The 27,564-nt window shown below is 49.5% G+C and overlaps 1 protein-coding gene and 1 long non-coding RNA gene across 2 annotated transcripts, besides 2 other annotated features; one reads left to right on the top strand and one right to left on the bottom strand.

Moving 5' to 3' along the window:
• Positions 3,247-3,456: an enhancer, noted in NCBI's record as "active region_6290". NCBI's record gives its function as "activates an Ori minimal core promoter by ATAC-STARR-seq in GM12878 lymphoblastoid cells {active_cell/tissue: GM12878}" and the evidence as "EXISTENCE:reporter gene assay evidence [ECO:0000049][PMID:35858748]".
• LOC105369755 (uncharacterized) lies at positions 3,995-4,823 on the bottom strand. The gene is made up of 2 exons (XR_944925.3): positions 4,730-4,823; positions 3,995-4,494 (listed from the first exon to the last, which is right to left on the bottom strand). It is a non-coding gene; the product is annotated as an uncharacterized LOC105369755 (long non-coding RNA).
• Positions 4,336-4,525: an enhancer, noted in NCBI's record as "active region_6289". NCBI's record gives its function as "activates an Ori minimal core promoter by ATAC-STARR-seq in GM12878 lymphoblastoid cells {active_cell/tissue: GM12878}" and the evidence as "EXISTENCE:reporter gene assay evidence [ECO:0000049][PMID:35858748]".
• Positions 4,381-26,788, top strand: DDX23 (DEAD-box helicase 23). Its single transcript, NM_004818.3, has 17 exons — positions 4,381-4,460; positions 10,762-10,970; positions 12,494-12,604; positions 16,438-16,531; positions 16,635-16,700; positions 18,464-18,602; positions 18,887-19,020; positions 19,151-19,263; positions 19,507-19,650; positions 19,750-19,975; positions 20,278-20,423; positions 22,047-22,224; positions 23,025-23,267; positions 23,971-24,122; positions 24,358-24,466; positions 25,228-25,402; positions 25,852-26,788. The coding sequence occupies exons 2-17, from the start codon at positions 10,762-10,764 to the stop codon at positions 26,073-26,075; spliced, it is 2,463 nt and encodes an 820-aa protein (NP_004809.2). The 5' UTR covers positions 4,381-4,460; the 3' UTR covers positions 26,076-26,788.

The raw sequence follows: 27,564 nt of genomic DNA, 5'->3' as shown, positions 1-27,564 counted from the left end.
GGAGAGTCTAGAGGAGAGAAAAAGGTTGGATGAAATCATCAGTAGAGGATCCAAGCTGCTGAGATTCCACCCCACATAGAAGGTGGACAGACTAAGCCAAAGCTGGGGGAGGCTCCTGGGATTCTGGTCTCCTCTGAGTTCAAGGAGAGGTGACATTTGCCTTCATGACCTTCCAATTCCGATGCCTACTGATGGCAGCTCAGGGGCCTTAACTCTTAACTTCCTTTCTCAGTGACTTATAGCTCTTGTTTTCCAAGTGCCATAGTGTAGTGCTAGTGCCAGAAATAAAGTTAGCATGTACTAGGCCAGGCGCGGTGGCTCAAGCCTGTAATCCCAGAACTTTGGGAGGCTGAGGCAGGTGGATCACAAGGTCGGGAGATCGAGACCATCCTGGCTAACACGGTGAAACCCCATCTCTACTAAAATACAAAAATTAGCCGGGCATGGTGGCACGTGCCTGTAATCCCAACTACTCGGGAGGCTGAGGCAGGAGAATCGCTTAAACCCGGGAGGCAGAGGTTGCAGTGAGCCAAGATTGCGCCACTGCACTCCAACCTGGGCAAAAGAGGGAGACTCCATCTCTAAATAAATAAATAAATAAATAAAGTTAGCATGTACTTAATGAGTGTTCAGCACTGTGCACTGTGTTGAGGGCTTTACATGATCACATTTAGACTCATAAATGATAAGAGCTAACATTTGTTAAATGTTTACTATGGGTCGGGGCACTTACGAGATTTTTCTTTTTTTTTTTTTGAGACAGGGTCTCACTCTGTCGCCCACGCTGGAGTACAGTGGCATGACCACTGCTCACTGCAACCTCACCCTCCTGGTTCACCGTCCTGATCACCCTCCTGACCCTCCTACCTCAGCCTCCTGGGTAGCTAGGACTACAGGAGTACCACAGTAGTAGTCTATTTTTTGTGGAGATGGGGTTTCACCATGTTGCCCAGGCTGGTCTTGAACTTCTGGGCTCAAGTGATCCTCCTGCCTCGGCCTTCCAAAGTGCTGGGATTACAGGCATAAACCATGGTGCCCGGCCCCACTTACGAGTTCTTTCTATGTTATTTATTCCTGTGATAACCCTATGAGCCTATGAGGTGCTATTTTTTTTTTTTTAGACGGAGTTTCACTCTGGCTGGAGTGCAATGGCACGATCTTGGCTCACCGCAACCTCTGCCTCCTGGGTTCAAGTGATTCTCCTGCCTCAGCCTCCCAAGGGACTACAGGCATGTGCTACCATGCCCGGCTAATTCTGTTTTTGTTTGTTTGTTTGTTTGTTTTTTTAGTAGAGACGAGGTTTCTCCATGTTGGTCAGGCTGGTTTCGAACTCCCGACCTCAGGTGATCCACCCACCTTGGCCTCCCAAAGTGCTGGGATTACAGGTGTCAGCCACGGCGCCCCGCCGCTATCTACTTCATTTTACAGAAAAGAAGACCGAGGTTCAGAGAGATTAGGTAACGTGCACAAGGTCACACAGCTAGGAAGTGGTTGAACATGGATACAAATCCAGGCAATCTGGCTTCACATCATGCACTCTAACTTGCTCTGCTGTCCTGTCCTGTGAGGGAAGTGGTATTATTATCTCTGTTTTGTAATGAGGAAAGAGAAAAGCCAGAGATGCCATATAATTTGCACAAGATCACAGTACTAGTAAGCAATTGAGCCAAGATTCAAACCAGAACTCACTGTTCACCAAAATCCCATGGACCCCTTACTGGTAGGCATGTTGTACCTAAATAGGTATCTCCAGTTATGGTTCTTACTAGAACACCATCCCTCTGTCTCTGTCTCCAAAGATGATGGTTTAGGTGTGGTGACTGGTGCCTGTAGTTCTAGCACTTTGGGAGGACGAGCCGGGCGGATTGCTTGAGGCCAGGAGTTTGAGACCAAACTGGACAACATTGCAAGACCCTGTCTCTACAGAAAGTAAAACGATTAGCCAGGCATGATGGGGTGCACCTGTGGTCCCAGCTACTTGGGAGGCTGAGGCAGGAGGATCACTTGAGCCCAGGTCAGGGCTGCAGTGAGCTGTTTGTGCCACTCCACTTCAACCTGGGCAACAAAGTGAAACCCGGTCTCAAAAATAAATAAGTAAATAAGCCAGGTGTGGAGTCTCACGCCTGTAATCCCAGCACTTTGGGAGGCCGAGGCAGGTGGATCACGAGGTCAGGAGATCGAGACCATCCTGGCCAACATGATGAAACCCCGTTCCTACTGAAAATACAAAAATTAGCTGGGTGTGGTGGCATGTGCCTGTAATCCCAGCTACTTGGGAGGTTGAAGCAGGAGAATCGCTTGAACCAGGGAGGTGGAGATTGCAGTGAGCCGAGATTGCACCACTGCACTCCAGCTTGGCGACAGAGCGAGACTCCATCTCAAAAATAAATAAATAAATAAAATAAAATAAAAATACAAACAAATAAGAAAACAAAGATTCATGTTTGTGAGAGAACTAGTGGGGCAAGACAAATAACAAGTATCCTTGAAGCCCAATGTCTTACATGTGTCATGAGATGTGCGCACAAGTACTAGAGGAACTCTGCCACTATGAACTGGGACAAGCTTTATCACCCTCCAGGAGCTCAATTTAAAGAGAGTTGAGATGGCAGCCTGAAAATGGGGAAAGGTAATGGACTCTGAAGTTAAATGAACCTGAATTTTGGCTCCATTCTTTTCTTTTCTTTTTTCTTTCTTTCTTTTTTTTTTTTTTCCAGTCAGGGTTTTGCTCTGTCACCCAGGCTGTAGTGCAGTGGCACGAGCATGGCTCACTGCGACCTCGACCTCCTGGGCTCAAGCAGTCCTCCTGTCTTGGCCTCCCAAAGTGCTGAGATACAAGCATGAGCCACCTCACCTGGCCCATTCTTTTAACTATGTGGCCTTTGAAGGCATAATTACTCTTTCTGGGCCACAATCTCCTTACCAGTAAAATGGAGATAGCACTCATCTCATACTGCTATGAGAACTAAGTAAAACAAATAAGGTAGGTTAAGTGTCCAGCCCAGAGCTGAGCACTTAGAAGATTCTCAATAAAAAGTGGCTGCAGTTTTTGAAGATTCTGGCCTACCATGGTTGGTCTGATTCTTAGTTTAATCTGTGAATCTGTGAGTCGAGCGCCCTCTCGTGCTTTTGTGGTGAATTACACCTAACAGATCTCAGAGCTCTCTTCTTTCCCTTGCGTTCTCTCTGGAGTAGAAGCTGGGAGGTGAAAGGCTGCAGGTTCTAAGAGAAGTGTGTGTCTCCGAGGGTTACTTTGGGCCATTGTACGTGATGCTCAGGGCTTTAGGATTACTTGGGTCTATCCTGAGGCTCTGCTTGAGAGCTTGGGCATATTCAGAGAGAAAAGGCAGACCTACAGCCATGTGGAATTGAAGCAACAAACCTGCTGCTGGCAAAATGGGAAGGGAGGTCCGAGATACTTCTGGTTATCTAAACCGTTTCCGCAACTGCAATGTTTTGTTTTGTTTTGAGGGAAAGAGTTATGAACCCATAAGACCAAAGAGAAACACAAAGTGAACTTACGATTTGAGGTTAAAACAACAACAACAACATCAACAACAACAACAACAGCAACAACAAAACTCAGTGGAAGACTGAAGTAGGGGAATCTGGGGGAAGAAAGAAGCAAAAATACCAAGATAGCTCAACAATTGGTCACATTCCAAAGGGCAAGAAATTGAGGAAACCAGGGTTCCATCTGGAATGTTGAGAAAACAGGTGCTAGAGCCCAGGAGATACCATCCTTCCGGGAGGACTTTAGAGCCCATTGTGTGGGCTCATTTGGAGCTGTAACAATAACTGGGGGTTGTTATGGCATTCACCCGGCTGCAGGGGCCAAGGTTGCTAAAACGTCCTCCTAAGCCTGGGATAGTTCCACACACAATGGAGAACTGCATCACCCTCCTTGTGAACCTACTCCGGTAACCTGATCTTTAGTTTGTCCAACTGTAAAATGGGGCTAGCCCCATTCTCACAGAATTATTATAAAAACCGCTTTTCCACGAATGGTATTTATTGTTACTGCGGTTGTTAGCTATAATTACGTACTACAGATATCTCAGGAAGCCCTTAAATTCCTCCACTGTAAGCCACGGGCAAGGACAGTCATAGACCGTAGTTTCTAGGAAGACCAGCCGATTCCAAGAAGGGTGCTCGGCGGGAGAACCTAATGCCGAAAGCCTATTGGCGAAAAACTCTTCCTTCCCGGACGCTAACGTCTGGCAAACCACATTGCCCGGCAGACCCCGCAGCCTGGGGCCGGCGCTCAAGTCATGCATTCTGGGATTGGTAGTTTCCAGGCCTCAGTGTCGGCCTGTGCCGCCCAGCTCCAGGAACTCGCCTTCCCAGCTTGCCTCGCGGCCGGGGGGGTGGGGGGTGTTCATCTCCGCGACCAGGAAACGGGAAAGATGGCGACGGCTCCGCGACGTTGAGGCCGCGTTGGGCGGTTCAGACTCAGGGTGGTGAGTCCCGGGCGGTGGAGGCGGTTCCCACGAGCTTACAGAAAGGGCTAGAGTCAGGGCACGGCGGTGGCCCCTGCCTCCTGGATGAGGCGGGAAAGAACGCCTCAGAGAAGGGGCATGAACCCGGGAAGCTCGGGCGGGCTGGAGTGAAGGGGCGCGGGCCCCAGGGGTAGTGTTGGCTCCTCCGGGCACAGGCCACGTCCCTGCACGATATTTTCCTCCCAGGACTCTGCCTATGGGCACAGCGCCTCTGATACCCCCAGTCTGACCTTATTCTTTCATGCTTAAAGTAGCCTTTGGTGCAGCCAAACTGGAACTCTGGCTTTTCTCTCGCAGTCAGTCCATGTTTTCCCGCCTCTGCGCCGGCCGTATTATTTCTTTTGCCGGGAATGACTTCTTTTCCGCGTCCTTAATTACATATCTTAAAATTCTACTTATACTTAAAAGCTCAAGCGTCACTTCCTCTTCCAAGCCTTCCACATCACCTTTTACAAGTGAAAGGAAACGCCTTTGAACACCTGTATTACTACATCTGAGCCTTGATACTCTTCTTGGTATGTGTCTCATACCCCCTATTGTTCTTTTTTTTCTTTTCTTTTCTTTTTTTTTTTGAGACGGAGTCTCGCTCTGTCGCCTAGGCTGGAGTGCAATGGCACGATCTTGGTTCTCTGCAACCTCCGCCTCCCGGGTTCAAGCGATTCTCCTGTCTCAGCCTCCCGAGTAGCTGTGATTACAGGCGCACGCCGCCACGCCCGGCTAATTTTTTGTATTTTTAGTAGAGACGGGGTTTCACCGTGTTCCCCAGGCTGGTCTCGAACTCCTGAGCTCAGGCAATCCACCTGTCTCGGCCTCTTAAAGTGTTAGGATTACATGCGTGAGCCACCGCGTCCGACCTCATAACCCTGTTGTTCTAAACACTTCCTGTGAACAGAATTTATTTTTGTAACTCACATAGCACCTAGCACTGTGCCTTGCGTACAGTAGATGCTTGTTAAATACGTCATTGAGTGAAAAAAAAGAATGTGCCCCTGCCCTGCAAGAACTGAGGACCTGAAGATCTGGAGGTTTGAGAGGAAGGCTGCTGGGAAGCATGGCCAGAGTCAGCCTGGTTATTTGGCCCTTGTGATAATAGAACCTGTAATAAAAGTTGCCTGTATTTACTGTCTTCTTCTCATTTTTCATTCTCTTCCAAACTCATTCCACTCAGGCTTCCATTCCCGCAATGCAACTGAAACAGCTCTTGTCAAGGTCACCAATAATCTCCATTTTTCCAAATTCAGTGGTTACTTCCCTGTCCCTTATTCCCTCTCCACTTCGGTGGTACTTGACACAGTTGACCCCTCCCTCCTTGAAACATGTTTTTGGCTTCTTCGTTGCCATGCTTTTCTTTGTCTTTTCTCACTGGCTGCTAGTTCTTTTCAGTCTTTTTCTCTGGTTCATCCCGTGGCTAACTCCTGTTAAAGTGTTCCAGAGCTCAATTCTGGAGCTTCTTCTCTATTTTTTTTCTTTCACTATGCTGCCTACTTAGGTAATATCATTTAGTGTCCCATGGCTTTAAAAGCTATCTGTGTATTGGTGACTCAAGTTTTTGTCTACAGACCCTCTCCCCTAAGTTCAGATTTGCATTTCTCTTTGCCTTCTGGGAATCTCCACAGATATTCTCACACTCAACCTGGCCAAAATGAAACGTTTGATTTCCTCTTAAATCTGTTCGTTCCCTAGTCTTCTCCAGTTTGTTTGCTATGGCACCACAAACTATTAGGTTGCTGAAACTATAAATTTAGGAGCTATCTTTGTGTCTGCTCTTTCTGCTTCTTCCTTAGTAAGTCCTGTTAGCTTTGCCTCCAAAATATACTCTGACGCTGCCTACTTCTTTCCATCTCCATCGCCACGTTCCTAGAACAAGCCACTGCCATCTCTTGCCTAGAGTACCATAATAGCACTCTCAGTGGTTGTGTTTTCACTCTGTCTCTCTGCTATATATTTTCTTGCAAGTCACCAAAGTATTAGATTGCTTCCTGTTTAAAGCTCTTCTAAGATCCCCATTGCAGTTAAAATCCAAGTTAACTCTACTCTGACCTGTAACACATTTTCATTATCTGACTCCTGCCCAGCTCACTGAACTCATCCTGAATCAGTATTCCTCCTGCATTAGTGCTTCCCAGGGTCAAGAAGTCTTTCCACCTCAGCCTGGGCTCAGGTGATCCTCCCCAGGCAGGAGCGAAGGGGCATGGGCCCCATAGGTAGTATTGGCTCCTGGGGGCACAAGCCGTGTTCCTGGACGATATTTTCCTCCCAGGCCTCTGCCTATGAGCTCTTGAGCACTTTTGAGCTCAGGCATTCCACCCACCCTAGCCTCCCAAAGTGCTAGGATTACAAGTGTGAACCACCACACCTGGCTGATTTTTTTTTTTTTTTCTCTCGAGACAGAGGGAGTCTTGCTCTGTCACCCAGGCTAGTGCAGTGGCACTATCTCGGCTCACAACAACCCGCACCTCCTGGGTTCAAGCAGTTCTGCCTCAGCCTTCCGAGTATCTGGGATTACAGATGCCTGACATCACGCCTGGCTAATTTTTGTATTTTTAGTAGAGACGGGGTTTCACCCTGTTGGCCAGGCTGGTCTCGAACTCCTGACCTCATGATCTGCCTATCTCAGCCTCCCAAAGTGCTGGGATTACAGGCGTGAGCCACTGCTCCTGGCCTCCGGCTGATTTTTAACTGTTTATAAATGTAAAATTTTATTGTTCAAAATAGACGGGAAGTCTTGCTATATTACCCTGGCTGGTCTCGAACTCCTGGGCTTAAGTGATCCTCCCGCCTTGGCCTCCCAAGGTGCTGGTACTACAGGCATGAGCCACCAGGCCTGGCCAAACAAATATGTTTTTAACTGACAAACGTGTAGTTGGGCTCACACCTGTAATACCAGCACTTTGGGAGGCTGAGGCCGAAGGATCCCTTGAGCCCAGGAGTTCAAGACTAGCCTGGGCAACAAATTGAGACCTTGTCTCTAATAAAAATTTTAAGAATTAGTTGGGGCCGGGCATGGTGGCTCATGCTTGTTATCCCAGCACTTTGGGCACTCAGGGCGGATCACCTGAGGTCAGGAGTTTGAGACCAGCCTGGCCAACATGGTGAAACCCCGCCTCTACTAAAAATACAAAAATTAGCCAGGCGTGGTGTGGCACGCGCCTGTAATCCCAACTACTCAGGAGGCTGAGGCAGGAGAATCACTTGAACCTGGGAGGTGGAGGTTGTAGTGAGCCAAGATCATGCCATTGCACTCCAGCCTGGGCGACAGAGCAAGACTCCATCTCAAAAAAAAAAAAAAAAAATTAGTCAGGTGTGGTGGCATGCGCCTATAGTCCCAGCTACTTGGGAGGCCTAGGCAGGAGGATCGCTTGAGCCTGGGAAGTCAAGGCTGCAGTGTGCCGTGATTGTGCCACTGCCCTCCATCTTGCGTGAGAGGGTGAGACCCTGTCTCAACAACAACAACAACAAAACAAACCTGACAAACATGCTAAGCTAGTTCACATTTCTTGTATCTAACAAGGGTTTTTTACCCTGATCTTTTCATGGCCCTCTTTCCCATCATTCAAGTCTCAGCTTAAATGTCAACTAAAACTTCTTCCCTGAGCCATCTATCTCTTGTTATACCCCTACCCATCATATCACTGTTTTATTTTCTTCATTAGCATTCATTACTATTTAAAATCCTTTCCGCTACACTAGAATTTAAGCTTTATGAAGTAGGAGACTTTGTTTTCTTTTTTTTTTTGTTTTTTGTTTTGTTTTGTTTTTGAGACGGAGTCTCACTCTGTCACCCAGGCTGGAGTGCAGTGGCATGATCTCGGCTCACTGCAAGCTCTGCCTCCCGGGTTCACGCCATTCTCCTGCCTCAGCCTCCCGAGTAGGTGGGACTACAGGCGCCCACCACCACGCCCGGCTAATTTTTTTGTATTTTTAGTGGAGACGGGGTTTCACCCTGTTAGCCAGGATGGTCTTGATCTCCTGACCTCTTGATCTGCCCGCCTCAGCCTCCCAAAGTGCTGGGATTATAGGCGTGAGCCACCACGCCCAGCATGAGACTTTGTTTTCTTTACTGCTTTGTCTCCGTTACCTACAACAATTTCTGGCACCTTGTAGGTGCTCGGTGAATATTTGTTGAAAGAATGAATGAAATCCAGGATGCTGTACAGAGAAAATAGCCTTCCTTTGGGATTGTTTTCTTAGGGCTGTAAGTGTTTTTTTTATTTTTTATTTTTTGGTGTGTGACAGGGTTTTGCCCTGTCACCCAGACTGGGGTGCAGTGGCACAATCTCGGCTTACTGCAGCCTCTGCCTCCCGGGCTCAAGCAGTCCTTCCACCTCAGCCTCCTGGGTAGCGTGTACCACCATGCGTGGCTAATTTTTTATATTTTTAGTAGAGATGGGTTTTTGCCATATTGCCCAGGTTGGTCTCGAACTCCTGGACAAGCGATCCACCCACCTCAGCCTCCCAAAGTGCTGAGATTACAGGCATGAGCCACCACACCCAGTCAAGACATAGGTATTTCTTTCTTTTTTTTTTTTTTTGAAACGGATCACGCTCTGCTGCCAGGCTGGAGTGCAGTGGTATGATCTTGGCTCACTGCAACCTCCGCCTCCTGGGTTCAAGTGATTCTCCTGCGTCAGCCTCCTGAGTAGCTGGGACTACAGGCACGTGCCACCATGCCTGGCTAATTTTTGTATTTTTAGTAGAGATGGGGTTTCACCGTGTTGGCCAGGATGGTCTCAATCTCCTGACCTCATGATCTGCCCGCTTTGGCCTCCAAAAGTGCTAGGATTACACGGTGAGCCACCATGCCCAGCCCAAGACATAGGTATTTCTGTGTGATAGCCATGATGTACTGATACAGAACAATCAGTCATTTCTCAGGTGATTGTGAGATAAAATGGGTTGTCCTCACCTTTTGAAAGTGCTTCTTGTTCATTTTTCTTTTCTCATCTTTATACAATCTTTCTTAAGGATATATGGCAGGGAATGGCATGAGAAAGGGGCTTGTAAGCTAAAGCTTAAGGAACCATTCGAGCTGAACCATTTGGGGATAAAATAAGTTGCGAGAAATGTATCCCAAGTCTTTGGGATGATGATGAGGTGGTTGCAGATTCAGGCTTGCTGCAGTTTTAGCTCCTGGCTGAACTAGAGTTCATAGCCCAAAGAAGAGTTGACAGTGTGGGAGTGGTGTTCGGTGTCTCCCAGGTAGGAGGGAGACAGAAAAAATTCCTGCTGAAACCTTTCACAAAACTGGGTTATGCAGATGACCAAGGTTGTGAAAATCTGAATAGGGAATGTCAATCAGGACTTCTGCAACCTCTAGTTTTGGGTATTTAAAATATATATCTTTGAAATAATTATAGTTTCACAGGAAGTTAAAAAATGTGTATAGAGGTTCTGTGTACCCTTCACCAAGTTCTTCCCATTGCATAATTAGAGGTACATTTCTTTTAATCTGAGTAAAAGTGTGTTTCTCCACTTAAATTCAGGTTTTCCTTGTGGTGCTAATTATAACGTAATCCAGATCTCAAAGTTAAACTTTTTTCTCCATTGAGCTTTCTTTATGAGCTCAAGAAAATTTATCTCTCTCAGACGTATGAGTGCTAACTGATCCTAGTGGGTTGGCAGACCTAATAAACTTCAAAGTAAGCAATATAGGATGTTTCTAGAAATAGTTGGTACACTGTTCATACACTAACACTTCTTTTAATACTCTTTTGTAGTCTAATTACAAAAACATGGTATATTCACTGTACATATTTAGAAATGAATATATAAAAAGGAATCGACCAGGCACTGTGGCTCACGCCTGTAATCTCAGCCTTTTAGAGGCTGAGGCAGGAGGATTGCTTGAGGTCAGGAATTTAAGACCAGCCTGGGCAGCATAGTGAGACCCTGTCTATAAAAAAAATAAATTAGCTAGGCAAGGCAGGAGGATGGCTTGAGCCCAGGAAGTTGAAGCTGCAGTGACCTATGATTGCACCACTGCACTCCAGCCTGGGTGACAGAGTGAGACTCTGAAAGGAATTACAGGGAGACAATATAGTGAGTAACGATGGCCTGTGGAGCCAGACTGCCTGCAACTCTGCCACTACCTGTCTGCCCTCAGACAAGTTCCTTTATATACCTGAGCTCCACCGTTCTCATCTGTACGGTAGACATACTAATATATCCACCTCATAGGGTTGTTTTGAGGGTAATTGAATTATATATAAGCAGTTTAGAGCAGTGCCTAGTACATTGTAAGTACTCTTCCTACTCATTACAGATGGCAGGAGAGCTGGCTGACAAAAAGGACCGTGATGCATCACCTTCCAAGGAGGAAAGGAAGCGATCACGGACTCCTGACAGAGAGCGGGATAGAGACCGGGACCGGAAGTCTTCCCCATCTAAAGATAGAAAGCGGCATCGTTCAAGGGATAGACGTCGAGGAGGCAGCCGTTCTCGCTCTCGTTCCCGTTCCAAATCTGCAGAAAGGTAAAGTAACTTTGTATGTTATTACATGGGAAGGGAGAGTACGTTTCAGATTTCTTCCTTCTTGGTTCTTCTGATGCCTCCAGTATTAGGCATCTACTTTTTATTTTTATTTTTTGAGACAGAGTCTCGCTCTGTTTGTTACCCAGACTGGAGTGCAGTGGTGCGATCTCAGCTCACTGCAAGCTCCGCCTCGCAGGTTCACGCCATTCTCCTGCCTCTGCCTCCTGAGTGCGTAGCTGGGACTACAGGCGCCCGACACCATGCCCGGCTAATGTTTTTGTATTTTTAGTAGAGATGAGGTTTCACCGTGTTAGCCAGGATGGTCTCGATCTCCTGACGTGATCTGCCTGCTTCAGCCTCCCCAAGTGCTGAGATTATAGGCGTGAGCCACCGCGCCTGGCCTTTTTTTTTTTTTTTTTAAAAGATGGAGTTTCACTCTTGTTTCCCAGGCTGGAGTGCAATGGCACGATCTCGGCTCACTGCAACCTCTGCCTCCCAGGTTCAAGCAATTCTCCTGCCTCAGCCTCCCGAATAGCTGGGATTACAGGCATGTGCCACCACACCTGGCTAATTTTGTACTTTTAGTAGAGACGGGGTTTCTCCACGTTGGTCAGGCTGATCTCAATCTTCCGACCTCAGGTGATCCACCCACCTCAGCTTCCCAAAGTGCTGGGATTACGGGCGTGAGCCACCACGCCCGGCTAGGCATCTACTTTTTGTACATTAATCTACTCCTAGCCCAGTTGGACCTGCAGGTGTTTTCAGTTTTCCTCAGTGACCCAACTCTTAAAAGTTGAGAGGGGGCCGGGCGCGGTTGGTTCACGCCTGTAATCCCAGCACTTTGGGAGGCCGAGGCAGGTGGATCACGAGGTCAGGAGATCGAGACCATCCTGGCTAACACAGTGATACCTGATCTCTACTAAAAATAAAAAAAAAAAAAGTTGAGAGGGAACTAGTAAGGTGAAGGTCCGGGTTATCAAGGAAGGTTCATCTGTGGCCGGGCGCGGTGGCTCATACCTATAATCCCAGCACTTTGGGAGGCCGAGGTAGGTGGATTACTTGAGGTGAGGAGTTTGAGAGCAGCCTGGCCAACATGGCAAAACCCCGTCTCTACTAAAAATACAAAAATTAGCCAGGCATGGTGGTGCACATCTGTAATCCCAGCTACTCGGGAGGCTGAGGCATGACAATTCCTTGAACTCGGGAGGCAGAGGCTGCAGTGAGCCGAGATCACACCACTGCACTCCAGCCTGGGCGTGAGAGTGAGACTCCATCTCAAAAAAATAAAAAAGGAAGGTTCATCTGTTCACATAGTCCGTGACCTGTCATTGCCGTTAATATTTAACAGTACATCTCTGATCTATAAAAGCTTCTTAGAATTCCCTCGTTATTTCCGTGAGAGATACATTCTCTAATTTGTAAAACATTACTTTGGGACGAGAGTATAGGAACTTTCTCAGGGCTGCAGTGAAGCAAGATACTTTGGAAATACCAAGTGAACTCTTAAATTTGCGGTCTTCCAGAGAACGACGGCACAAAGAACGAGAACGAGATAAGGAGCGGGATCGGAATAAGAAGGACCGAGATCGAGACAAGGATGGGCACAGACGGGACAAGGACCGTAAACGATCCAGGTACATGAAGGAATGAGAGGGGGCTTTAGGGGAATGCTCCCATTTCTTCTCTGCACCTGAGTTTGCTCAGCTTCTTATGAAAGTAGATTTCTCGCCAGGCGTGGTGGCTCACGCCTGTAATCCCAGCACTTTGGGAGGCTGAGGCTGGTGGATCACGAAGTCAGGAGATCGAGACCATCCTGGCTAACATGGTGAAACCCCGTCTCTACTAAATATACAAAAAATTAGCCGGGCGTGGTGGCGGGTGCCTGTAGTCCCAGCTACTCAGGAGGCTGAGGTAGGAGAATGGCGTGAACCCGGGAGGCGGAGCCTGCAGTGAGTCGAGATCACGCCACTGCACTCCAGCCTGGGCGACAGAGCAAGACTCTGTCTCAAAAAAAAAAAAAAAAAAAGAAAGAAAGAAAGTAGATTTCTCTTAACAGATTCTGTTGGTAGTTATTACAGAGCTCTCTTTCTTATTTATTTTTATTTATTTTTTTGAGGCAGGGTCTCTTTTGCCCAGGCTGGAGTGCAGTGGTGTGATCACAACTTACTGCAGCCTTGACTCCCCCAGGCTTAGGTGATCCACCCACCTCAGCCTCCTGAGTAGCTGGACTACAGGCATCTGCCACCAGATTTTGTTTTTTTTGGGTTTTTTTTTTTTTAATTGATCATTCTTGGGTGTTTCTTGCAGAGGGGGATTTGGCAGGGTCACAGGACAATAGTGGAGGGAAGGTCAGCAGATAAACAAGTGAACAAAGGTCTCTGGTTTTCCTAGGCAGAGGACCCTGCGGCCTTCCGCAGTGTTTGTGTCCCTGGGTACTTGAGATTAGGGAGTGGTGATGACTCTTAACGAGCATGCTGCCTTCAAGCATCTGTTTAACAAAGCACATCTTGCACCACCCTTAATCCATTCAACCCTGAGTGGACACAGCACATGTTTCAGAGAGCACAGGGTTGGGGGTAAGGTCACAGATCAACAGGATCCCAAGGCAGAAGAATTTTTCTTAGTACAGAACAAAATGAAAAGTCTCCCATGTCTACCTCTTTCTACACAGACACGGCAACCATCCGATTTCTCAATCTTTTCCCCACCTTTCCCGCCTTTCTATTCCACAAAACCGCCACTGTCATCATGGTCCGTTCTCAATGAGCTGTTGAGTACACCTCCCAGACGGGGTGGTGGGCGGGCAGAGGGGCTCCTCACTTCCCAGTAGGGGCGGCCGGGCAGAGGCGCCCCTCACCTCCTGGACGGGGCGGCTGGCCGGGCGGGGGGCTGACCCCCCCACCTCCCTCCCGGACGGGGCGGCTGGCCGGGCAGAGGGGCTCCTCACTTCCCAGTAGGGGCGGCCGGGCAGAGGCGCCCCTCACCTCCTGGACGGGGCGGCTGGCCGGGCGGGGGGCTGACCCCCCCACCTCCCTCCCGGACGGGGCGGCTGGCCGGGCGGGGGGCTGACCCCCCCACCTTCCTCCCGGACGGGGTGGCTGGCCGGGCGGGGGGCTGACCCCCCTACCTCCCTCCCGGATGGGGCGGCTGGCCGGGCGGGGGGCTGACCTCCCCCACCTCCTTCCCGGACGGGGCGGCTGACTGGGCAGAGAGGCTCCTCACTTCCCAGTAGGGGCGGCCGGGCAGAGGCGCCCCTCACCTCCCGGACAGGGCGGCTGGCCGGGCCGGGGGCTGACCCCCCCACCTCCCTCCCGGATGGGCGGCTGGCCGGGTGGGGGGATGACCCCCCCACCTCCCTCCTGGACGGGGCGGCTGGCCGGGTGGGGAGCTAACCCCCCCCACCTCCCTCCCGGACGGGGTGGCTGCCGGGCGGAGACGCTCCTCACTTCCCAGACGGGGTGGCTGCCAGGCGGAGGGGCTCCTCACTTCTCAGACGATGTGGCTGCCGGGCGGAGGGGCTCCTCACTTCTCAGACGGGGCGGTTGTCAGGCAGAGGGTCTCCTCACTTCTCAGACGGGGCGGCCGGGCAGAGACGCTCCTCACATCCCAGACGGGGCGGCAGGGCAGAGGCGCTCCCCACATCTCAGACGATGGGCGGCCTGGCAGAGACGCTCCTCACTTCCTAGATGGGATGGCGGCCGGGCAGAGGCTGCAATCTCGGCACTTTGGGGGGCCAAGGCAGGCAGCTGGGAGGTGGAGGTTGTAGCGAGCCAAGATCACGCCACTGCACTCCAGCCTGGGCACCATTGAGCACTGAGTGAACGCGACTCCGTGTGCCATCCCGGCACCTCGGGAGGCCGAGGCTGGCGGATCACTCGCGGTCAGGAGCTGGAGACCAGCCCGGCCAACACAGCGAAACCCCGTCTCCACCAAAAAAATACGAAAACCAGTCAGGCGTGGCGGCGCACGCCTGCAATCGCAGGCACTCGGCAGGCTGAGGCACGAGAATCAGGCAGGGAGGTTGCAGTGAGCCGAGATGGCAGCAGTACGGTCCAGCTTTGGCTCAGCATCAGAGGGAGACCATGGAAAGAGAGGGAGAGGGAGACCGTGGGGAGAGGGGAGAGGGGAGAGGGAGCCTGAAGCTTTTCTATCTATGGATTCTTCTCTGAATCTTTGGGGGTTTTTTTGAGATGGAGTTTTTGTTCTGTTGCCCAGGCTGGAGTGCAATGGCACGATCTCGGCTCACTGCAACCTCTGCCTCTTGGGTTCAGGCAATTTTCCTGCCTCAGCCTCCCAAGTAGCTGGGAATACAGGCATGCGCCACCATGCCTGGCTAATTTTTGTATTTTTAGTAGAGACAGGGTTTCTCCATGTTGGCCAGGCTGGTCTCGAACTCTTGACCTTAGGTGATCCGGCCACCTCGGCCTCTCAAAGTGCTGGGATTACAGGCGTGAGCCATTGTGCCTGGCCTGTATACAGAGTTCTTATCAGGCCCTGAAAGTATAGGTTAGAATTCAAGGCAGAGGACAGAATGCTCCTAACAGAAACTCAGTGGGGTTGTTTGAATTATCTTGTAGATTAAGCTTAGAGCAGGTATGGGGAAAGGATTGTTGGGATTGATAGGAATGAAAAATGATGAGGGAATATAGATAGCAGTATCTTCTTGGCTTGTGGTGGTGGCCATGTAGGCTAAATTCATTGTATATTAAAGAGTTAAGGAGGGCCAGGCGCTGTGGCTCACACCTGTAATCCTAGCACTTTGGGTGGCCGAGGTGGATGTATCACCTGAGGTCAAGAGTTCGAGACCAGCCTGGCCAACATGATGAAACCTCGTCTCTACTAAAAATATAAAAATTAGCCAGTGGTGGCAGTACTCGCCTGTAGTCCCAGCTACTCAGGAGGCTGAGGCAGGAAAATTTCTTGAACCCAGGAGGCGGAGGTTGCAGTGAGCTGAGATCACACCATTGCACTCCAGCCTGGGCGACAGAGTGAGACTGTGTCTCAAAAAAAAAAAAAAAAAAAATTTTTCTCTAAACAACCACACCTGGCTAATTTTTGTGTTTTTACTAGAGACAGGGTTTTGCCATGTTGGCCAGGCTGGTCTTGAACTCCTGACCTCAGGTAACCCACCTGTCTTAGCCTCCCAAAGTGCTGGGATTATAGGCATGAGACACCGCGCCTGGCCTAGGGGAAATATTTTTGACATCAGTAGTAAAGTCCCACTTCCCAAAAGAGATTAGTCTCAAAAGGAGATTTGGGTAGAAAGGGGCCAAGACAGGGCCATAATTAGGTTTCAGAGCTGGCAGAATGACCATGCCTGCTAAGAGAGTTTCAAGACATGATAGATGACCATGGGCCAGTCTTGTTGAGTCATGGGGAAACTTCCATTCTCTTTTCGGGGCTCAACTTGAACCTCATCCAGGCACTGAAGTAAGAGTGATGTGGACCTTGTTCCTTTTCCTCAAAGCTTATCTCCTGGTCGAGGAAAAGACTTTAAATCTCGGAAGGACAGAGACTCTAAGAAGGATGAAGAGGATGAACATGGTGATAAGAAGCCTAAGGTAAAGGAGAGGAAGGATATTTTTCATCTTCAACTCGTGCGTTGCTTTGTTGATCTTTAAAGGGAGAGAGCCTTTATAGACTAAAGTTCTGTTTTATCTTCAGGCCCAGCCATTATCCCTGGAGGAGCTTCTGGCCAAGAAAAAGGCTGAGGAAGAAGCTGAGGCTAAGGTAAGTACTTGAGGGTCTTCATTCATCGGCTCAGGCTGCCATAACACAATACCACAGACTGGGTGACTTCAACGACAGAAGTTAATTTTCTCACAGTTCTGGAGGCTGGAAGTCTGAGAGCGGAGTGTCAGCAGGGTTATTTCTTCTGAGGTCTCTCTCCTTGGCTTATAAGGCTGTCTTCTTCCTCAGCTCTTCACATGGTCCTCCCTCTGTACACATGTACCCCTTGTGTTGGATTAGGGCTCACCCTAAAAGGCCCTTTTTTTTTTTTTTTTTTTTTTTTTTGAGACAGAGTCTCACTCTGTCGCCCAGGATGGAGTACAGTGGCATGATATCGGCTCACTTCAACCTCCACCTCCCAGGCTGAAGCAATCCTCCCACCTCAGCCTCCCAAGTATCTGGGACTACAGGTGCGTGCCACAACGTCCAGCTAATTTTTGTATTTTTTGTAGAGTCCAGATTTCACCACGTTGTCCAGGCTGGTCTCGAACCCCTGGGCTCAAGTGATCTGCCCTCCTTGGCCTCACAAAGTGCTGGGATTACAGGCGTGAGCCACTGTGCCCAGCCTAATGGGCTCATTTTAACTTAATCACCTCTTTACATGTCCTGTCTCCACATATAGTCAAATTCTGAGGTACTAGGAGTTAGGGCTTCCACATAGGAATTTTGAGCTGGGTACAGTGGCTCACACCTGTAATCCCAATACTTTGGAAGGCCAAGATGGGAGGATCACTTGAGCCAGGGATTTTTAGACCAGCCTAGGCAACATGGTGAAAACCCATCTCTATAAAATTTTAAAAATTAGCCATCTGTGGTAGCATGCGCCTGTAGTCCCAGCTACTCAGGAGGCTGAGGCAAGGATATTGCTTGAGCCCAGGAGGTTGAAGCTGCAGTGAGCCATGATGACACCACTGTACTGCAGCTTGGGCAACAGAGCGAGAGTCTGTCTCAAAAAATATATATAACACATGCATTGTTTGTTTGTTTGTTTGAGATGGAGTCTCGCCCCGTTGCCCAGGCTGGAGTGCAGTGGCATGATCTCGGCTCACTGCAACCTCTGCCTCCCAGGTTCAAGCAATTCTCCTGCCTCAGCCTCCTGAGTAGCTGGGATTACAGGCACGTGCCACCATGCCTGGCTAATTTTTTGTATTTTTTTAGTAGAGATAGGGTTTCACTGTGCTGGCCAGGCTTGTCTTGAACTCCTGACCTCGTGATCCGCCCATCTCGGCCTCCCAAAGTGCTAGGATTACAGGCACAAGCCACCGCACTCGGCCACATTTTTTTTTTTTTTTTAAAGGTAAGGTCTTGCTCGTTTGCCCAGGCTAAAGTACAGTGGTGCAATCACAGCTCACTGTAACCTCAAACTCCTGGGCTCATATGATTTTCCTGCCTCAGCCTCCTGAGTAGCTGGGACTATATGCACATGCCATCATGTCTGGCTGAGTTTTTTTATTTTTGTAGAAACAAGGTCTGCTATGTTGCCCAGGCTGGTCTTGAACTCATGGCCTCAAGCGGTCCTCCCATCTAGGTCTCATAAAACACTGGGATTACAGGCATGTGCCACCACGTCCAGCCTGAAAAAACATATGAATTCTGTAGGGGACATAGTTCAGTCCATAACCGAGTCCAAGGCCTATTTGTGTTTTCCTCAACAGGCTTAATGCCTGAGCAAATACTTTTGGGTTCCCTGCCATCTCCCCATCAGTGATGTGATTGTACCCTGCTCCCAGATCCTTTGTTGACAGTTCCAATCTCTTTTGTAGCCCAAGTTCCTCTCTAAAGCAGAACGAGAGGCTGAAGCTCTAAAGCGACGGCAGCAGGAGGTGGAAGAGCGGCAGAGGATGCTTGAAGAAGAGAGGAAGAAAAGGAAACAGTTCCAAGACTTGGGCAGGAAGATGTTGGGTTTGTTATTCTACCCTGTGTAGCCCCTAGATGGAAGAGGAAAGAGTGGGATGAGATACAGTGTCTCTTAGGAGAGATAGAAACCTGTTCACTCTGGAGTTTGGAAAGGGGAAGGATGGTGGGAGTTTATGAGAAAACATTTTTCTGTTAGATCTCCATTTACCCCATATCATAAGTCTACCCCTTTTTTTCTTCATTTGGGGTTCCTCGTCTGGATTCCCTCCATTCCCTCTCCTCTTTTCTTCCATGAGCTCTTCTGCAGCTTTGCTTTCTTTGGTCTGCAGAAGATCCTCAGGAACGGGAACGTCGGGAACGCAGGGAGAGGATGGAACGGGAGACCAATGGAAATGAGGATGAGGAAGGGCGGCAGAAGATCCGGGAAGAGAAGGATAAGAGCAAGGAACTGCATGCCATTAAGGTGCAGGCCTTGGCTCCATCTTCACTTCTCTCCCACACAAAAATGAGGTTTAGTTATTTGGCCATTGTGATCTCTGCATGTGAGAATTGGGCCTCAAAGCTCATGTGCTTTGTGTTCTGTCCCTGGGTAGGAGCGTTACCTGGGTGGCATCAAAAAGCGGCGCCGAACGAGACATCTCAATGACCGGAAATTTGTTTTTGAGTGGGATGCATCTGAGGACACATCCATTGACTACAACCCCCTGTGAGTGGCTTCAGGCCTGAGTTCTAGGTCTTTTCCACTAGGCAGTCCTAGAGAGCTGATGACTACGGAGGTGGAGGAAGTAAGATAAGCTGGGATGGAAAATTGGTAGACTGGTAGTCAGCCAGCCCTCTGGTGGAAGAAAGACCCTGTCTGGGAAGAACTGTTTCATACTAGTAGTCTGCCCTTCCTTCCTACTGCCGTTAACAGCTCCTTCTTTTTTCTTTTCCTCTATCTCAATCCCAGGTACAAAGAACGGCACCAGGTGCAGTTGTTAGGGCGAGGCTTCATTGCAGGCATTGACCTCAAGCAGCAGAAGCGAGAGCAGTCACGTTTCTATGGAGACCTAATGGAGAAGAGGCGAACCCTGGAAGAAAAGGAGCAGGAGGAGTGAGTGATCAAGGCTAGGGTGGCTGGACAGAGCCCAGAGGCTCTACAGAAAGGAGTTGGAGGGCACTGATTCTACTTACTCCTCACACCCTGCTCCAGGGCAAGACTCCGCAAACTTCGTAAGAAGGAAGCCAAGCAGCGCTGGGATGATCGTCATTGGTCTCAGAAAAAGTTAGATGAGATGACGGACAGGGACTGGCGGATCTTCCGTGAGGACTACAGCATCACCACCAAAGGTGGCAAGATCCCCAATCCCATCCGATCCTGGAAAGACTCTTCTCTGCCCCCACACATCTTGGAGGTCATTGATAAGTGTGGCTACAAGGTAAGGAGGGATAGATTGGCCCAAGAGATCTGACATGTTCCTACACTAGTTTGGGAATAGAGAACTTTGTTCCTTGACTATTTGGAGCCATCGCTGCTAGTGGGCACCAATGTGACCTTTTCTGTCACTTTCTGGTAGAAGTGTTGGCTTTTAGTGATTAGGTTTCTTCTTGGGGTCCCTATTTCTGTGAACTGTACTTGGCATCCTTCCATTGTGCTAGCAGATGTGCTTACTACTATCAGTGGTTGCCCAGGTGGTATAACTCTCCCTGTACCTATTACTCTTTCTTGGGGTCACTGCAGGAACCAACACCTATACAGCGTCAGGCAATTCCCATTGGGCTACAGAATCGTGACATCATTGGTGTGGCTGAGACTGGCAGTGGCAAGACAGCAGCCTTCCTCATCCCTCTGCTGGTCTGGATCACCACACTTCCCAAAATTGACAGGTGAGGTCAGCTAGCACCAGCTGGAGTGGGTTTGTCTGGGTAGGAAAGGTGAAAGTGGCAAATGAATGTTTGATTTTTGTTTTACGTCTATAATCAGAAGCTTTCTTCTTTATTCTTTGTTGGATATTAGGGAATAATTGGATCATGATATCGAAGAAGTATATGTTGCTGGCAAAGACCTGGAGAACTTTGCTATCCTGGAGTCTCTGATTTATTTTATTTATTTTTTTGAGGCAGAGTCTCACTCTGTCACCCAGGCTGGAGTGCAGTGGCACGATCTCAGCTCACTACAACTTTTGCCTCCCAGGTTCAGGTGATTCTCCTGCTTCATCCTCCTGAGTAGCTGGGGATTACAGGCGTGTGCCACCACTTCTAGCTAATTTTTGGTTTTTTGTTTTGTTTTGTTTTTTGAGACGGAGTTTCGCTCTTGTTGCCCAGGCTGGAGTGCAATGGCGCAATCTCGGCTCACTGCAACCTCCTCCTCCCAGGTTCAAGTGATTCTCCTCCCTCAGCCTCCCAAGTAGCTGGGATTATAGGTGCCCGTCACCATGCCCGGCTAATTTTTTTGTATTTTTAGTAGAGACGGGGTCTCAATGTTGGTCAGGCTGGTCTCTAACTCCTGACCTCAAGTGATCTGCCTGCCTCAGCCTCCCAAAGTGTTGGAATTACAGGCGTGAGCCAGTGTGCCTGTCCTTAATTTTTACATTTTTAGTAGAGATGAGGTTTCACCATGTTGGCCAGGCTGGTCTCAAACTCCCGATCTCAACTGATCTGCCTGCCTTGGCCTCCCAAAGTGCTGGGATTACAGGCGTGAACCACTGCACCTGGCTGAATCTCTGATTTTTATGTATTTATTATTTATTTATTTATTTATTTTTTGAGATGGAGTCTCGCTCTATTGTCTAGGCTGGAGTGCAGTGGTGTGATCTTGGCTTACAGCAACCGTTGCCTCCCAGGCTCATATCCTCCTACCTCAGCCTCCCAAGTAGCTGGGATTACAGGTGTGTTCGAACATGCCCAGCTAATTTTTGTATTTTTTGTAGAAACAGGGTTTTACCATGTTGCCTAGACTGGTCTCAAACTCCTGGGCTCAAGTGATTCACTCACCTCAGCCTCCGAAAGTGCTCGGATTATAGGCTTGTGCCACCTTGCCTGGCCTCTGGACTTATTTTTATTTTTATTTTTTTTGGAGACAGAGTGTCTCTGTCACCCAGGCTGGAGTGCAGTGGCGTGATCTCAGCTCACTGCAACCTCTGTCTCCTGGGTTCAAGCGATTCTTCTGCCTCAGCCTCCCGAGTAGCTGGTATTACAGGCGCCGGCCACCACGCCTGGCTAATTTTTGTATTTTTATTAGAGGCAGGGTTTCACCATGTTGGCCAGGCTGGTCTCAAACTCCTGACTTCAGGTGATCCGCCTGCCTCAGCCTCCCAAAGTTCTGGGATTACAGACATGAGCCACCATGCCCAGCCCTGGCCTCTGATTTTTAAGTGAGATCATTGCATTCTTTTCTCATCATCCTCCCCATTCCCATTGCTCCCCGTAAGAGTGACTTTGTCTTGCTCTGGCTTGTGGTTGGATAAGAACCAAAGCTCACGAAGCTGTGGGGCACCCTGTTTACCACAGGATCGAAGAGTCAGACCAAGGCCCTTATGCCATCATCCTGGCTCCCACCCGTGAGTTGGCTCAACAGATTGAGGAAGAGACCATCAAGTTTGGGAAACCGCTAGGTATCCGCACTGTGGCTGTCATTGGTGGCATCTCCAGAGAAGACCAGGGCTTCAGGCTGCGCATGGGTTGTGAGGTTTGTTTTTCTATCTAGCAGCCAGCCTGCTGTCTGGGAAGGCTATCTTGGGGCTTTGTTTCTAGTTTCTGGAATATATGTGCAGTAGTATGAAGAAAGGAGCTGGTTTATATATATGTGCTATTTATTGAGAACTTATGCACCAGGGTTTATATCACAAATAGTATATATCATATATATTAGCTCATTAATTCTCACAATAATGTATGAGAGTGGTATTTCCTTGTTATAGATCAAGCTGAGGTTCAGGTTAATAACTGCCTGAAGTCACAAACAGCTGGCAATGGGCAGAGCTGAGACTCATATCCATAGCCTGTGCTTTTAGTTACTCTTTACTCTGCCAGACCAAATCTTTGACTTTGTGCATTGCCTTCATCTCAGGAAAGTGGAGGAGAGCTCTTTATGAGAAGTCTGCTGTAGAAATTTAGTCTTTTTACAATTTTTTAAAAAAATTTAGTCTTTATACAACCCCCTTCATAGTACCCCTTAGTCTCTCCCATCTAAGAAGTTCCTTCTTCAGGATCTGAAATGATTTGCCAAAAAAAAAAAAGTTTCTACTGATTTTGCCTCCTCTGTCTAATCCTTGCACCTTACTCAGAGACCTCATTCATTCCTGAGAAAATCCAGGCAACAAGTGATTTCATGCCAGTTTGCAGGAGCCTTTACTGCTAAACATAACCAGAGGTTGGGGTCCAAGTTCCTCAGCATTGGAGGTCTGTCACCCAAGTGGGTGGATAGTTCACAGGAAAGAAAAGAAGGGGCACCTGCTGGGCTATAAATGATTATACTGTACTCCTCAGATTGTGATTGCTACCCCTGGGCGTTTGATTGATGTGCTGGAGAACCGCTACCTGGTGCTGAGCCGCTGTACCTATGTGGTTCTGGATGAGGCAGATAGGATGATTGACATGGGCTTTGAGCCAGATGTCCAGAAGATCCTGGAGCACATGCCTGTCAGCAACCAGAAGCCAGACACGGATGAGGCTGAGGACCCTGAGAAGATGCTGGCCAACTTTGAGTCGGGAAAACATAAGTACCGCCAAGTAAGGCTGCTTCCCTGGGCTGGGAAAAGTTGGACAGGCCAAGGCGGGTGGATCACTTGAGCTCAGGAGTTTGAGACCAGCCTGGGCAACATGGCGAAACTCCGTCTCTACAAAAATTTAAAAAATTAGCTGGGCATTGGTGGTGCACACCTGTGGTGCCAGCCACTCAGGAGGCTGAGGTGGGAGGACCTCTTAAGCCTGGGAGGCAGTGGTCGCAGTGAGCTGAGGTCGTGCCACTACTCCATTCCATCCTGGGCAACAGAGTGAGGCCCTGTCTCAAAAAAAAAGAAAAGTTGTACAAGGTTGCCAACCTCCTTTTGGGCCTTTCTTGCCTTAGGTGGGCTCAGAGTACATGTTTCTAGAATGAAGTGTGCCTAGGTACAGTCCTCTGACAGTCCTAAGGGTGGAGCCATTTAGCTTAGCCCTGGAAAAACGATTCCAAAGACTCATGCTGCTACCGGGACCACAGGTGCTAGCAAATGCTCTCAATCCTTCCTGTCATCATAAGATGGAAAGTGCCTTGATGAGCAGGTACTCAGGAAGGATGGGAATTCAGAGGACACTATTTTCTAAGGTGGTGGCTATCAAAGCCTATACTGTGGCCCATTTTAGATTCTTTAGTCTGGGCTGACCTGCCTTCGGTGACAGTGGGATATATGATTATTCCTGCCTGGGTGCAGGGCTGAGCCTCCTGTTTTCGTAGACAGTCATGTTCACGGCCACCATGCCCCCAGCGGTGGAGCGTCTGGCCAGGAGCTATCTTCGGCGACCTGCTGTGGTGTACATTGGCTCCGCAGGCAAGCCCCATGAGCGTGTGGAACAGAAGGTCTTCCTCATGTCAGAGTCAGAAAAGAGGTATGAGGGCAGCTGAGCCAGGGGAAACAGGGTGGAGAATAAAATGGCTCTGAGAACTTTTTTAGTGCAGGTGCAGGGCAGGGCAATTGCTCTGCTGTGTTGAAGAGCTGCTGTTTTCTTGGGCAGAATGTCATGGGCATTAAAGACCCTGAAAGTAGTGTTCATAGATGAGGGTTGGGCATTTCACTTGGAGTGGGAGGTATTATGCATCTTGTTTTTCTCCTCTTCCTTCCAGGAAAAAGCTGCTGGCAATCTTGGAGCAAGGCTTTGACCCACCCATCATTATTTTTGTCAACCAGAAGAAGGGCTGCGACGTGTTGGCCAAATCCCTGGAGAAGATGGGGGTGTGTCTGGCAGGGGAGAACAAAGTCTAGCCTCTGTGGCACTGCTTTCTGAATCTAGCAGGGCCCCCTAGGCTCTTCCTTTCAAGTCTCACCCTTTCTTTAGCCTGTCCAGCAATCAACAAGTTAGGACCAGGGTGAAGGGTGGTTTGAGGGAATAAAGAGAATGGAATCAATTGCTGGGACCCCCTGTCTGCTGCAGTAATGCCAGCCAAAGCTGCCTTGGGTCTTCATCCTGGTGAGGTGGAGCCAGGGAAAGGTTTGAGACCCATATCCTGGCAGTCTGAGGATGTAGAAAAGAGTAGGTGAAAACTGCTTAGGTACGTTGAGAGGAGGTGATATGGTCAGAAGGGAGCTGATAATCAGTGTCCTTTACTCCTGTCACTGGTGCTTGAGGGGAGGGGTGTGTCCCTGTCACTCAGCTCTCCAACTTCCTTAAACTTCTTGATCCCTGCTTTCTACCCTGATCTCGCCCCTAATTCTCTTTGAGGACTTTTCATCTGTCTGGCTCCACCGCTCTCCCAGCTGTTTTGCCTTTGACCTTACTCTGTGTGTCCCTGCCACACCACACCTTTTTCTCTCATCCCTCTCTTCAGCTCACTTGTTCTCTCCTTCTTTCACTGCAATCATTCTCTTGTTTCCTTTCCTTTCTCGTACTCTGCTGCTCTCTCCAACCCTCCCTTCATCTGTGTCCCATTCCTCTGAACTCCTGTGTCTCTCCTTGATTGCATTGCTCACTCTTCACTTCACCATTCTTCCAACAGTACAATGCTTGCACACTGCACGGTGGAAAAGGCCAGGAGCAGCGAGAGTTTGCGTTGTCCAACCTCAAGGCTGGGGCCAAGGATATTTTGGTGGCTACAGATGTGGCTGGTCGTGGTATTGACATCCAAGATGTGTCTATGGTTGTCAACTATGATATGGCCAAAAATATTGAAGGTAAGTTCCAGGGAAAGCAGCTTCAATCCAGGGTGAAGTCAGATTCCTTATGGTGTCCCACTGGAAGTCAGGGTGCTGTCCATGGAAGGCTGTTACTGCCTCCCTCAGTTCCAAGTCTGGGATTGCTTGCTCCCATGAGAAGCACTCCTGTCCTTTATCTTACCTGGGTTTGTTGTCCCAGCAGCTGGGATGACACTTGTGTCCTCAGGAGTGTGAAGAATGAAGCTAGGCAGCTGTGGGTCTTAGTGTGGTAGGGACCACAGTCAGTAGGAGGACAGGGGAGATGGGCACCTGGAGAGGGCACTGTGGGCGCCTCAGGTTCAGGCAGCATGTGCTGTATTCCTGCCTTTGGAGATGGGGTGGGAAGGATGCCTCTAGAAGTGGAGGCATCAGACACGGCTCCCCAGGGCATCTGGGCTATGCTGAGTGACGTTCTTCCCATTCCCCAGATTACATCCACCGCATTGGCCGCACGGGACGAGCAGGCAAGAGTGGGGTGGCCATCACCTTCCTCACAAAAGAGGACTCTGCTGTGTTCTACGAGCTGAAGCAAGCTATCCTGGAAAGCCCAGTGTCTTCCTGTCCCCCCGAACTAGCCAACCACCCAGATGCCCAGCATAAGCCAGGCACCATCCTCACCAAGAAGCGCCGGGAAGAGACCATCTTTGCCTGACACAGCACTCTTCCTGTGGGCTGAGGGCATCTCCAAAGCTGCCTGATGCCTGTTTTTCAGAACCCTCACATCCCTCTTTCCAGGTCCTCACTCTTGGGATATGGGGGCTTAGGAAAACAATCCAACTCCCTAGCCCAGACCCTCAGGTCAGGAGGCCTGCGTGTGGGGCTGCAAAAGGAGAGGACGACGCTGTCGGAGGCAGGGAGAGCAAATTACCACAGCTTCTTGGCCCAGTTCTGCCCTTCTTTGCTTTGGGATTGCACTGGGCCATCAGCTCATGCCAGGCTATGGGGGCAGCCAGTTGGCATTGCTCCCCAGACTGAACAGAAACCTGGCCGCCGGATGGGACCTCCTTTGGCACAGACTTGACTGTGTAACTGCATAAACTGCAGTAGCATCATTGCCCTAGATGCCCCAGGAGACCTGGCACCATGAGGATTACAGACAGTGGAATCTTACTGTCATCTGGACAGCTGTTTTCCTGTTTGGATGGTAAAGGAAGTTGAGAGTCTTTAGACCTGTGCACAGCCCCGCACCAAGGGGTGCTGTATGCTCTAGGCATCCCCTCCCCCAGGGGATTTTCTAAGTAGATGGGGGGACACGGTGAACTGGCTGTGTCCATCTTTGTCACTGAGTGAAATCTCTGTTTTCTATTCTCTGAGAAGATAAGTTTGTATGTTCTGAGAATAAATACATGAATATTAAGACTGTTAGATCTAGTTCTAGTTAAACTTCCCAGCTTCTCCCTGGCAGGAGGGACACCACTGGGTGCGGGGTGGGTTGGCTTGGAAAATGAGAGACAGCCACATTAAGAGAAGAGTAGAGGGGTCTCTGCTGATAGTCTTGAGTCTGTAGGTGGACTTGAGAGGAGATGCAGAAGCCACGCAGGACTGTAATGCATCTTCCGCCCCTGCTCTAGCCTCGCGTAATGTGTGGCCCTGGCCTGGACACCCTCTAGGGAGCTTTAGGCAAAGGTGAGAAAGGAAAGCAGTTGTGAAATTTTGGCAGGTGAGGCAGTTGGAACCACTCTGCCGCTGTGTGCCCAACGCCTGGTCTCGGGAGCTTTGCTTGTGGCTCCCTAGTTGGACCCATTGCTCCTGGGAGGGGATGGTGCAGAACGGGTGGACCCAGCTGTATCAGGCTGTGGTGAGAGGAACGCAGGGCTGCAGTCCTCCCCCCATACCCCTCTTGTTCACATGCTCTTCTTACCCCACAGAAAGAGTTGGCCTAGTACATAGAGTTCAAGTTGTAGCTGCTTCTAGGGCCTTTTTGGCCTGGCGCAAGGATACTGTAAAGCCGTGACCAAGCGTCTTCCCCACATCCCAGGACAAGCCCTTCCGTGCTGCTGGATGTCTCCCTCTTGACACCTGGGCATGAGGAGTGGGGATGCCTGGGAGTGGAGTGCCTCCCCAGCTCTGCCTTTGTCCCCTTCCCGCTGGACAGATCCTCTGAGAGAAGGGCGGCCCAAACACATCTTTCCCTCCACCAG

Source organism: Homo sapiens, chromosome 12 (genome assembly GCF_000001405.40).
Source record: "Homo sapiens chromosome 12, GRCh38.p14 Primary Assembly".
NCBI classification, from domain to species: domain Eukaryota; kingdom Metazoa; phylum Chordata; class Mammalia; order Primates; family Hominidae; genus Homo; species Homo sapiens.
Note: the sequence above shows the minus strand (reverse complement) of the source record. Positions and strands in the feature narration are given on the sequence as shown.

What these genes read in the sequence shown, in the direction of transcription:
- DDX23 (NM_004818.3), top strand. Translation starts at nt 10,762, where the DNA reads ATGGCAGGAGAGCTGGCTGACAAAAAGGACCGTGATGCATCACCTTCC. An exon ending in ATGGTGATAAGAAGCCTAAG is followed by an intron (nt 16,532 to 16,634) that starts GTAAAGGAGAGG and finishes TTTTATCTTCAG; the next exon opens with GCCCAGCCATTATCCCTGGA. An exon ending in GAAGAAAAGGAGCAGGAGGA is followed by an intron (nt 19,651 to 19,749) that starts GTGAGTGATCAA and finishes ACCCTGCTCCAG; the next exon opens with GGCAAGACTCCGCAAACTTC.